The sequence below is a fragment of the Homo sapiens genome, chromosome 15 (genome assembly GCF_000001405.40).
Source record: "Homo sapiens chromosome 15, GRCh38.p14 Primary Assembly".
In the NCBI taxonomy this organism is placed as follows: Eukaryota; Metazoa; Chordata; class Mammalia; order Primates; family Hominidae; genus Homo; species Homo sapiens.
This window is the reverse complement of record NC_000015.10, coordinates 63,996,596-64,009,238: the sequence shown is the minus strand read 5'-3', so window position 1 is coordinate 64,009,238 and position 12,643 is coordinate 63,996,596. Positions and strand designations below refer to the sequence as shown.

At 47.2% G+C, this 12,643-nt stretch overlaps 1 protein-coding gene across 24 annotated transcripts in view, besides 1 other annotated feature; it reads left to right on the top strand.

Annotated features, from left to right (window-relative positions):
• The window catches only part of DAPK2 (death associated protein kinase 2), a 139,450-nt gene that overhangs the window by 37,247 nt on the left and 89,560 nt on the right, over positions 1-12,643 (top strand). The window lies entirely within an intron of this gene.
• Positions 10,658-11,159: an enhancer, noted in NCBI's record as "H3K4me1 hESC enhancer chr15:64290279-64290780 (GRCh37/hg19 assembly coordinates)". NCBI's record gives its function as "activates a minimal SCP1, AML or CMV promoter by ChIP-STARR-seq in primed H9 embryonic stem cells {active_cell/tissue: H9 hESC(primed)}" and the evidence as "EXISTENCE:reporter gene assay evidence [ECO:0000049][PMID:30033119]".

Sequence of the window (12,643 nt, the reverse complement as noted above, 5' to 3'; positions counted from 1 at the left end):
CTAGCCCAAGTCCATTCAGAAAACATGCACTGCAGATCTACTGTGTATCCACTGTAGTTGGTGCCTGGGGGTACAAGGCTGGACAATTACAGTCTACTAAGGGAGAATAATATATAGAGAATTTCAGTAAAATGGGCTGAATCCCATGATGGAGGTATGCACAGGAGGTGAAAATAGAGGAGGGCCTCATGTCCAGGACACCTTGAGGGAAGGATCAGCTGTGACAATAAATTCTGGCCAACTTTCCTATGCCTCCTTTAAACAAAGAGGTCTTATGTTTGCAGACTGAAAAGGGGATCCTACCCTTTCCTCCCCTGTCATCTGTAAGGCCCTTGGTGATGCTGCAGCTCTGTGGCCTGTCCCTCAAGTACACCCTTGATTGGATGACAGCAGTGCACTGCTCTGTTGGTTAGGGATGTCTATGCAGGTGTTTCTTCTCATTTTCTTACTTTTAAAACACAGGAAATTTTAAAAGGAAAAGTTTCACTCAACTATTTGTTATCCTCATGCACTTTTGCATCTGTGTTCTCTAATACAAAAATTGAATCAAACCATACATATCATTTGTGCATGTTCACTTATTATTTTATAAACATGTCCCTTATGATGTTCATACTTGCTATTTTAATGTTTATATAATTGTCTATTGCATCCAGAACATCTGATTGCCAAAGCTGTTCCTTAGTGGAGAATGCTTAGCTTGTTTCCAGCTTTTTCTTGTCTATGAAACTATGTTCTTTCATTTGAAGTCTCTCTAGAGGCCAAATTCCCAGAATACAATGCACCTGGACTCAGATAATCTGACTTTAAGTTCTAGATCTGTGGCAAATTGGCTCTGTGACTGTAACTCTGTGAGTCTCAACTTCCTGATCTCTATAATGGGGAGAGCACTGACTGTGCAGGGTGTTGAGATACTGTCTGAGGCCAATATATGAAAAGTGCTTCATAAAGAACCTGCATATAGGGTAGAGTTGATATCACCTGGTGAAAGCATGTGAGTATTTTTATGGTTCTTTTTTAAAAAAACAGATATAATTTATATACAATTCACCCATTTATAGTGTCCTAAAGCCATTAGTACATTCGCATATAGTGTATTAAAGCCATTAAATGGCTTTAATGTATTCAGAGTTGTGTGACCATCATCATCATCAATTTTAGAACATTTCATTACCAAAAAACCCCCTTACCCATTAGCAGTCACTCTCTGCTTCTCCCAAACCCACTAGCCCTAGGCAACCACTAATCTTCCTTCTGTCTGTGGATTTGCCTGTTCTAGACATTTTGTAAAAGTGCAATCATACAACATGCGGTCCTTTGTGACTGGCTTCTTTCACTTAGCATAGTATTTTCAAGGTCCATCCATGATATAGCATGGATCAGTACTTTTTTCCTTTTAATTGCCAAATAATATCCAGTTGTATGGCTACACCACCTTTTGTTCATCTATTCACTAGATGATGAACATTTGGACTGTATCGTCTTGACATTTAGTGCTAAATGGCACACAGCAAACATAGTTGTATGCTCCAAGCTATTTGATGTGCCAAAAAAGTCGGACTCTCAGTCCCTTATGCAGAATTTTATAGTTAAACAAACTGCAGGCATCAGGTAACTGTTAGGAGAAGCATCACAGAGCTATCCAAGGGGATTTTGGGAAACTCCTGTGCAGAGTAAGCCTGTCCCCCTCCAGGAGGGGACCTGTGCCTGCCTTCCCAGCATTGACTTTCTCTGAGGCTGGGAGATCAGGAGGCAGGAGAGGTTTCCTACTGGCTCTTGGAGGATGGAGAGCTCTGGCTGGAGCTAAGATGAAATGTGAGCAGGGGACAGATTGCCATGATAGGGGAGAGGAAGGAAGACTGGGGGGAACTGGAAACTGAGTGGGGGCCAGAAAACAGGCTGAGGGGACCCTGTACCTTCAGGTCATTTTGAGAAGAGTGAGAAAGGGTTGTGTGAAAGGGAATGAGAAAGGTTGGCTGGGCATGGTGGTGCGTGCCTGTAATCCCAGCTACTCGAGAGGCTGAGGTGGGAGGATCACTGGAGACCAGGAGTTCAGGACCAGCCAGGATGACATAGTGAGACCCCGTCTCTAAAAAAAAAATTTTTTTTTCAATTAGCTAGGAGAGGTTGGCACACATTTGTAGTCCTAGCTACTTGGGAGGCTGAGGTGGAAAGATCACTTGTAAAGTGAAAAAGCACAGTAAAGTGAGGGTGGGCCCACCACTGCCTTTAGATCCTCTCCCCTGCAGCCCATGCAGGTTTTTCCGAGTTAAGGTTTGAGCCTCCCTGCATTTCAGTGACTTCCTGGAGTCGGGCTCCCTATGGGTGGGAGGGAAGAATAATGTCTACTTCCTTCTTGGCTACCTGCTAGATTGATGTAATCTGTACTTGGCCTCACCTCCTCCAGCTGCCAGGCCTTCCCCTGGCAGGCACCAAGGATGAGTTGTCTGACACATGAGGCAGGGTGAGAAGGGAAGAGAATGGGGCCACCTGACAGGAGACCTGTCTGGTCCTGCATCTGTCACTGCCCGGGAGAATAGGTGATGTGGGCAAGTTCCTTTCCTTTGCTAGGCCTCAGTTTCCCCATTTATAAAGTGAGGTGACGGTAAGAAATTCCTTTTATTTCCATGGTTCCATGAGGTTTGCCAAGTTTTATTGTATACTGGGGGATCTCTGACGTCTTTCTTGGTTGTTTCTGCCCTGCTTTGGTGAAGTGGGAATGGAGTTGGGGGAGTTCCTTGCTTCTCTTGAGCGTCTAATATAGGTGACGATGTTGTACGTCCTTAGCTGGTGGTTGCCAAGGGCTGACATATACTGTATAGACCAGGACATGATATAAGGAGAAAAAAGTCATTTTTGCTCCCTGGCTGGTCAGTCTGGGGGCTTATGGCCTCTGATGGTAAAGGCTGACATTCTGCCTCCTGACTGTTTTTTGTTAAATTGGCAAAAGCTACATGTGTCAGAACTCAGGTGGCTACACATCTTGGTGGCAGGTGCTGCTTTGGTGGCGGAAGGATCAGGTTGGTCTGGGAAAGCTGGATGGACCAGTGTGGTGAGCGGAGACCACTCAGTGTGGGTTGGTCCTGACACCCTCTCAGGAGTGATGGGATGCCAGGAGAGGCCATAGGGAGAACCATGCTGAGCTGGCTGGGTTTGTACGTGTTGCAGAGGGTTTTTTGTGGGGTTTTTTTTTTTTTTTTTTGAGTCAGGATCTGGCTCTGTCACCCAGGCTGGATTGCAATAATCCGATCATAGGTCACTGCAGCAGCCTTAAACTTCTGGGCTCAAGTGATCTTTCTACCTCAGCCTCCCAAGTAGCTAGGACTACAAATGTGTGCCAACACGCCTAGCTAATTAAAAAATTTTTTTCTTTTTAGAGACAGGATCTCACTATGTTGCCCTGGCTGGTCCTGAACTCCTGGTCTCCAGTGATCCTCCCACCTCAGCCTCTTGAGTAGCTGGGATTACAGGCACGCACCACCATGCCCAGCCATGTTGCAGAGTTTTATGTGGTTTGAATCTGGTTCTTCTCCCAGATCTAGTCTTTGTGTTTACTTCTTCTCCTTTGTGGGCAAGACAGTTTTTTGTTTTCCTCCCCTGCCCACCCCTACCTTGGCTATCTGTTTCCCAGTATTTGCTGTTGGCCTTAGGCATGAGGGACTCTGGGCAGATTGGTATAAGCCCATTCCTATGTTGGGAGGGCACATGGCTGTCCTCCCACCCTCTGAGTTGCTTCAGACATTCCCTTTCCACATCTTCTCCAGCACCTGCACATCTTTCCGGAACTGCACATGATATTCTTGGGCTGGCATCTATGACTTAGGTCAAGGAAAGGTAAGTTTCTGCTCTTGTATCTAGTATCTGTGGTGGCTGAACTTACCAAACCCTTGATCAAACACACAACCTCACACACAGAGCCTGAAAGTGAATCAAAGGGTTTGAAATTACTGCTCTTTGGGAAAATCTAGGTAGGATGACTTGCCCTGAGCTAACTGGATACCCCTCCTGAGAAGAGCCTCTTGGCTTCCCTGAGACCACAGGACAGAGCACCACTCAAGGATGGGTATTGGGTTCACTCAGAAGACATGTCTTTGTCTTGTCAAACCCACAATCTTGCACCCTGAAGTGGGGGCCTGAGGCCAGAGCACAACAGCAGGTGGATCAGTTAAGCTTTGGGCTCAGTTTCCCTGTTTGGGAAGTGGGGTCTCTCGGCTAGTCACCTTTCATCCTTACTTAAGTGCTAGGAGGATTAGGTAAGAGAGTGTTTTGAAAGCTCATGAAAACCTTCATCTCAAAGGAACTCTGGGAGTAGAAGGAATTAACGTTTCAAAGGAAAGATAAGTCATCACTGATTTGGCACTGAAGCCAAGAGTGTAAGGTCAGAGAACAACCTGTGGCTGCTGAAAGGGAGGGTGTGGCTCTCAGAGTTACAGGATCATTGGGTTGTGTCCTTGGATGACTCAGGAGCGGTGCTGCACGTGCTTAGTGCTTTTGTATGTGTGCCCTGGAGCCTGTGCGAAAGCCCGCTGCCAAACCAAGGGGCCCACTGTGGAATTATTGTTATGCAAGCTGAGGGGAAAGACCCCACCAAACCAGCCAGCAGTTTCCATTGAGGCCTAGCAGAGACCCCTATCTCCACCCTTGAAGAGGGGCAGTAATGTCTCTGAAAGTCTCTATCCCACTAAGGTGCTCAAAGTCCTCAGAACACTTGTCTAAACCAAGCTGCCCCATCCAGGCAAAGGTATCAGCATGAGGCAAGCCATAGATTATGATGAGGATTTTTTTAAAAAGTGAGGGTCCCCCTGTTGAATTAATGGATCTAGGCATTGATCATCAGAAGCTGGTAATATCACAAAGAGAGATAGCCAACGTTAGGCGCCTCCTGATGGGAACACACAGCACCACCAATGAAGGAGTCTTGCAAGAAACTCAAACCTGAATCTGATCAAGCCTCTAGATCCAGCTACTCATTTACAGGAAATACAGGGGGCAGAGGAACATGTAAACAATACTATCAGGAAGTGGCCAATAAAATCCAGACAGTGAGAAATGGTATAGGTCAAAAGACCTGGTATTTATGACAAATGAAGTATAAGAAAAAGAGAAAAATGGAGGGATGGAGGGGAGCTCTGGGAAGGGAGAGAGAGAGAGAGAGAAGAACCTAAAGATTAAAAGAGGCTTAAGAGACATATCATTTGCAATATGTGACCTTCCTTGGGTTTTGATTTGATGGAACAAACTGTAAAAAAAAGTTAAGGCACATGGGGGAAATATGAACACCAAATGGATATTGATGACATTAAAGAATTATTGTTAATTTTAAAAGGTGTGATAGGCCAGGTGCCATGGCCCATGCCTGTAATTCCAGCACTTTGGGAGGCTGAGGCAGGCAGACACTTGAGGTCAGGAGTTTGAGACCAGCCTGACCAACGTGGTGAAACCCCGTCTCTACTAAAAATACAAAAAATAGCCAGGTGTGATGGCACACACCAGTAATCCCAGCTACTCTGGAGGCTAAGGCAAGAGAATCACTTGAACCTGGGAGACAGAGGTTGCAGTGAGCTGAGATTGCGCCACTGCACTCCAGCCTGGGTGACAGAGCAAGACTCTGTCAGAAGGAAAAGAAAAGTAAAGAAAAGAAAAGAAGGAAGGAAAAGAAAGAAAAGAAACTTAAGACCCAAGACAGGATGACTGATTTGCTCTTGATCACTCAGCTGATTAAACCCAGGTAATGCCACCATGGGTCAGCAAAGAAGTAGGCGAATCCTGGTGATGCTGGAAGCATTGGATGCCCTGTAAGGACATGATTTTGCAGTCTGCAAAGTGTGTCTAGGTCTCTGCCAGAGCAATGCACTGCCTATGATAGAGTGCTATTGCTAAACCTTCCCACTAATGCAGATTAATTTCACACCCTTTGCAAGTGTTGCTATTCCAAGTTTTTCCTCACTCAGCCGCTGAAAAGGGACAGAATCTAGAGATGTGCTCTGGATCGAAGTCCAGCCTTCAGAGTTAGAAGAGAAGAGCCAGTAGGGGGTCGTCTGTCCATTCTATCCTCAAGGGGTCTCCCCTGAGATCAGTTCTTCCCCACCTTATCTTGTGGCCTTATTGCATCCACCCACCCTCCTCAGCCTCCAAGCCTAGGTCCCATTCCTGCAAATTCCTGCTTTGGGTAAATTAATAAAAGAGTCAGTCTTAACACTACCCCACCACCTCTGGTCCCACGACACACACACACACACACACACACACACACACACACACACAGGTCCCACGACACACACACACACACACACACACACACACACACACACACACACACACAGTGTCTCAGTCTTTCTCTCCCTCCCTCTCTCCTCCTCCCTCTGCTGCTGGTTTCATTAATTAGGCGATTCTTTGTTTAAAAGACCCAAGACTCTAAGGAATGATACTTTACAGATGAGATATCAGTGAGTTTATTGGGTGAGTTGGGGGCACAAAGGCCCCCTGAATTCTTACCAAATAGCTGCCTACTGTATCTGTGTGTGAGATTGATGGGAGTTCATACTATCATCCCTTGCATGTGTGTGGCCTTTTGCAGTTTACAAAGCATATTCACTTGCATTGCTATGTGAGCCTCATAGAAGCCTGACATAGGTAGATATTAGCCTCATTTTACAGAAGTGGAAACTGGAGCTGGGAGAGTTTAGTATGTGTTCTGCCAAGTCCTCCAGTTGGTCATCTATCCATCCATCCATTAATTATGAAATATTTTTTACTATTATGGACAAATTATGTTGATAGATGCTATGGAAGACACAGGGACAATAGGAGAAACTGTTAAAACCTTTAAAAATGTGTTCATCTTCAAAACGTATTTTATTGAAGGACATATATTGTTTATTGCTAGAGCATGTAGAGCTCATTTGTGTTTCCAATAAGAAGACTTACATAAAAAAAGGAATTTCTGATGAACTCTGTTAATAAAAATGTTTTAAAGTAGTCCATCCTTTCCTCTTAACACTATGGTTGATCTGCGTTGAGCTGGGACGTTTCCACCAGATGGGGATCAGAGGTGCCACCTTGGAGGTTGACTGTGCCACTCTCCCCAGGGCCCTGAGCTTGGCTCTTCTGCAGTAGGAGTTGGCAATACCTGTCCCCATGAGCCTCCCAAGGATTTGAGAGTGTAAAATGAGAGGATTCATGTGAAACTACTTTGCAAATCATGAAGTTGCTCTTCAAGGGCTACTTTTATTCACAGAAGGAGTCACTCAACAGATATTTATTAATTTGTGTTTGTTCATAATACTGCCTTTACCAAGGTAGGAAAGCAAATTTTCAGCAAAGAGGGTCAGAACCAAAGGAAATGTGGCATGAATATTGGGGTGCCTAGGATTCTGTTATGCAGTGGATTGGGGCCTTGCCGTAATATTTTCTAAAACAGCACTTCTCAAACTTTAATGTGTATGTGGATCACCTGGGAGTTATGTTAACACACACATTCTGATTCAGTAGTGCTGAGATGAAATCTAAGATTCCACTTTTCTGACAAGCTTCCAGGTGGAGTCAATGCCGCTGGTACAACATTTAGGAGCAATGTTCTTAAGGGTGCAATTGAGAGGAAAGGAGGGGAAGTACAGCCCGGGGCTCCTAGAGTGGGGAGGGGGGCACACTGCTGACCTATTTGTGCCATAAGGGGAGATTTCCAGAAAGGTCTTCTTGGGAGCTCTGATCACTGCTTAGTAGCCCCACTTCCTTCCCATCCTCCTCAAGTGGGAAGAGGCTGTTGTCTTCTTAGGCTGTGTATTTGCTCTGAATTTTGGAGAGAGAAAATGTATATTGTGAGTGCTTGAGCCCCATCTCGGGGTAGGAGGAGGAAGGAAGGAGATTACACCATCACATACGGTAACTGTTCTTTGTCGGGCCAAGCTGCTTGGGGAAGCATGGCTGTACCATGATCTAGAGACAGCAGATTGAGCCAGTGCCTGCCTTCAGCATCTGATGGCGCAGCACAGCAGAATCCAGTGCAGACTAGATTTTTTTTTTTTTTGGCAGGTAGTGGAGGTGATTAAAGAGTGTTGACTCTGGCCGGGTGCAGTGGCTCATGCCTGCACTTGCAGCACTTTGGGAGGCTGAGGCAGGATCACCTGAGGTCAGGAGTTCTAGACCAGCCTGGCCAACATGGTGAAACCCTGTCTCTACTAAAAATACAAAAATTAGCTGGGCGTGGTGGCACGTACCTGTAATCCCACCTACTTGGGAGGCTGAGGCAGGAGAATCGCTTGAACCTGGGAGGCAGAAGTTGCAGCAAGCCAAGATCACACCATTGCACTCCAGCCTCGGTGACAAGAGCGAGACTCCATCTCAAAAAAAAAAAGTGTTGACTCAAGTGTTTTGAAGAAGAGAAGGATTGGGGAGTAAGCAGTCAGAGGGTGCCCCCACCACCTTCATTTTACACTCATCAGACACTTTGTCATCACCTATTCCCAGCTTGCCAGGCTCTGAGTGCCCTCATGTGGCTCTCCAGCACCCCAAAGACCTCTACTGTGCAGCCATCTTGATCTGCCTTCCCCCTAATTACCATGGTTCTCCCCACCCCCAGCATCATGCCTTCTTCCATTACATTGAAATTTCATTTTTTTCCCCCTGCATACCTGAATTCTGCCAACTAGTAGGAAAGCAGTCTAATTCAGTCATGTTAAGGAATACATGGCTACTGATCCAACCAGCTGTTAGTTGCATTTTTGTGAGTCATGACACACAGGGGTTCCTCCCTAGTTCTCTCCTCCCATTCAGAGCCTATACTTTAGGGAAAACCAGAGGCTTTGTAGAGGTCTCTTTTGCTGTAGATGGTGACATCTCAGGAGTCTGGGTGTGGGGACAAAGTCCAGGTATGCTTGGTGCACGTATTTGTTCAGGGAGAAAGGTTTCTTCTGCCCCATAGCAAGCAGGCCCCAGTAAAAGCGGGATGCTGTGATATAAGGGGGAGTTTGCTGTAGTGGGGTGGTTTTTACACAAAGTCCTGTGGAGCAGACCTAGGGGCTGTGTGTGTGTGTGTGTGTGTGTGTGTGTGTGTAGTAGTAGTAGTAGTAGTAGTCAGGCAAGTGCTTTGTATCATCCCCCTTTCATCCAAAGCAAAGATGCTTTGATCTATTCTGTACATTAAACATCTATGTAAGGCTTATTTGAAAACGTTATTGATCGGGTGTGGTGGCTCATGCCTGTAATGCTAGTACCTTGGGAGTTTGAGCCCCAGGAGTTTGAGCCCAGGAGTTCGAGACCAGCCTGGGCAACATGGCGAAACCCCATCTCTACAGAAAATATAAAAATTAGCCAGGCATAGTGGTTGCATGACTGTGGTTTTACCTACTCAGGAGGCTGAGGTAGGAGGAGAGCTTCAGCCGAGGAGTTTGAGGCTGCAGTGAACTGTAATTGTGCCTCTGCACTCCAGCTGGGGCAACAGAGTAAGACCCTGTCTCAAAAAAAATAAAAAAATAAAAGCAGGGAAAAAAGCATTCTTAAATACAAGAAGACTTAAAAATGGTGCCTCTGGCAAGCAGAGCTAGGGTGGGAGAGGAATGGGGCAGGGGACTCTTGTTTGCATTATAAGGCTTTCTATGCAATCTCATTTTTACTTAGCCATGTTTGTGTACATTATTCTGCTAAAAAGTTTTAAAATAATGAAAAGGAAAAGACCCCTACTGATGGAGCAAGTTTGGAAATCCTAGCAGTTGTAGAAAGTCACAGGAATAGAAGTAAGGGACCTGAGGTCCTGGGCTGTGTGACTGAACTGCTTTGTGACCTTGGGCAAGCTGCTGTGAGTGTTTCCTTAGTTATGAGATGGGAGGGGAGATGATCTTCCTCTCCCCTGTGGTTTGACCCTGCAGTTCCACGAGAAGCAGCTGTTGGCAGCTGTGGGGGCAGAACTGTCCTCCCAGTCCCCACGTGCCCTGGAAAGGCTCGGGTCTGATGCCTGGCCCATGGATAGTCCTGACCCCCAGCCCCAGCTTGGTCAGATCATTCCTGGGCTGGAGAGGAAGAGAGATTTTGACCAAATTAGTTTGCTTCTTACTGGCCTCTGGGATCCATGGGAAAACTCCTCTCAGAACAGAGATTGACTGCTGAAGAGTGAATGGGCGAGTTTCCAGCACAGCGTCTGTGCCATGCTCCCGAGCTGAGTTTAGTTTGTGTCAAAGCGCCTACTGTGTACTTTGTGGGGGATTGGCAGGTAGAAAATTTCACAAAACAGCCCTGCCCTCCAAGAGCACAGGAGAGTCAATATATAGAATATTTCCTTTAGGAAAGAGAAGATTTGCGAGGAAGCTGCCTTCTTCCAATATTTGGTGGTTCTTCCGTGGATGGGCACTGCATCTTGTTCATCTTTGTGTTCCCGGTGCTTGCTCTCAAGACTCATTATTCATTTAATCCTCATCCAGCACAAACGCACAACAGTGAACAAGCAGCACTGTCCCTTCCTTTCAGGAGACTACAGCCCACGGTGAGATTCCGGGAAGTAGACAGAACAGTGCAGGGCAGGACGAGCTGCAAGGGGGAGGATGCCAAGCTGTGCACACGGAAAGCACCTACTGTTACGGCCATGGCAACCTCAGCTGCTCCTGCCTGGGCTTCCTGGGGATTCCCCTGGGTCTCCTCCGGGCATAGGTCCACCCTGCAGAGACCCAGGGAGCCAGAGAGCCTGGCATATGTGGGGACCCTTCTCTGTGTATAGAGGAGGCTTGCCAGCCAGGCCCAGCCTCTGGCAGGAGAGACCCTGCAGAGTCCCCAGCCTGCAGGAACAGTGTGGTGGCAGGCAGCCTGAGGGAGACAGTCCATCCTTTGGCTCTCCTGGGCCCTAATATATTGAGACACAACCTGGCTTCTCCCTCTGTCCCAGAGGGAAAGCCTGGACCTGCCACCTCTCAAGGCAGGAATGTGCTTGTGTGGCCAGCCCACATCCATGTGGGAGCCCATGACTGCTCTGTGGGCCTGTTTCCCTGAGGACGGAGGTGATTTTCTGGGGTACTGAGGGGCAGGGAAGGGCAGCCTGCACCCATGGGTAAGAATGTCTGCTCTGACTCATGACACTCACTGTCTGACTGCTTCATCCTTCATCAATCAGAAACCACTTCCTAAGCACCAAGGATATGTCAGGCTCTGTGCTGTGTTCTCCCAATTCTCAAATTCCTTTTTCTTAACTGACTGTGAGATAAGTGTATTACTTTCATTTCACAGGTGGGAAAACTGAAGCCCAGAGCACCAAGGATAAAATCCTATTTGTTGGTGTTTACCATGTGCTGGATGCCATTGTGGGCACTTGTGTGGATCAGTGCATGAAATCATCATAGCTTATGAGGCGGTTTTCATTCCTGTCTCACTGATGATGAAACTCGCCCAGGGTCTCACAGCCACCTTGTAACAGAACTGGACTGGAGTTATCTTGGAGTCCTTTCCAGAGACCTCCGTGCCCTCAGAGCACTGCTGGTTAACCTCTGCCCCTCTTTGACTCCAGTGTGGGCCATGTGGGTGAGGACAAGGGCAATTAGAGGCAGTTAGTGTGGGAGACTTGATGGGTGGGTTTTCTAGAGGAAAGAGACCATTTTAGAGGCTAGGGTCCATTTTAAATTGCAGCAAAGGCCGGGCATGGTGGCTCACACCTGTAATCCCAGCACTTTGGAAAGCCAAGGTGGGCAGATCACCTGAAGTCAGGAGTTCGAGACCAGACTGGCCAACATTGTGAAACCGCATGTCTACTAAAAATACAAAAATTAGTTAGGCATGGTGGCGGGCACATGTAGTCCCAGCTACTTGGGAGGCTGAGGCAGCAGGAGAATTGCTTGAACCTGGGAGGTGGAGGTTGCAGTGAGCCAAGATCGTGCCACTGCACTCCAGCCTGGGTGACAGAGCGAGAATCTGTCTCAGAAATAAAATAAAATAAATTGCAGCTGGGGTAGACAAAGGACAAATAAATCATGTTGGATTTGACACATACCTTTCCTGCGCCCTGACAATTAGGCTTGAAGGAAACCTGTCAGGCAGTGCCAAAGCCTGTAATGGCTTAGAGCAGAGTTGGAGGAGTGGGGCAGGAGTGGCAACCCTGAAGGCACCTGGGAGTTGCTAATTGGGGGTGGTGATGACAGAGGAGATGGCACAGTTGCACTCTGAGCCGCTTGCCTGACAGAGGCTCTGGTGTCTGCTGGGGAGTAGGGCTGGATGGGAGAGGTGTAGAGGAAGATGTGCTTCTAAGAGGACTTGGACCTGTTCCTTCTGTCCCCACCCAGCCCTCCAGGCTTGTGGGCAGAAAGGCTGGGTGTGGACCTAAAGCCAAATCTTTTGAGGGTGGGGATGAGGGAATAGGCCACCTGCAAGCGTGGGGGCAGAGGGGGATGGGGGTGGCACCATTTCATTCCTGTGATAAATGCTTTTTGCTCTACAATGAACTTGGCCATTAGGATCGGCTGTACATGATTGCCTGAGTAGTCCTCCCTTGGGCAAAGCCTTTCACACTTTGGGACTCCCTTTAGCCGTCTGTGAAATGGGCTAAGCTCCGTTTTGGAAGTCGTGCTCTGCTGCCCACTGTATTTCTCCATGCTCGTGTCCTGGAGTGAACGCTGCAGTGATGGCAGCACAGAACCACTTATGATTCCTCTTGCTCATGCATGTTAAGAAT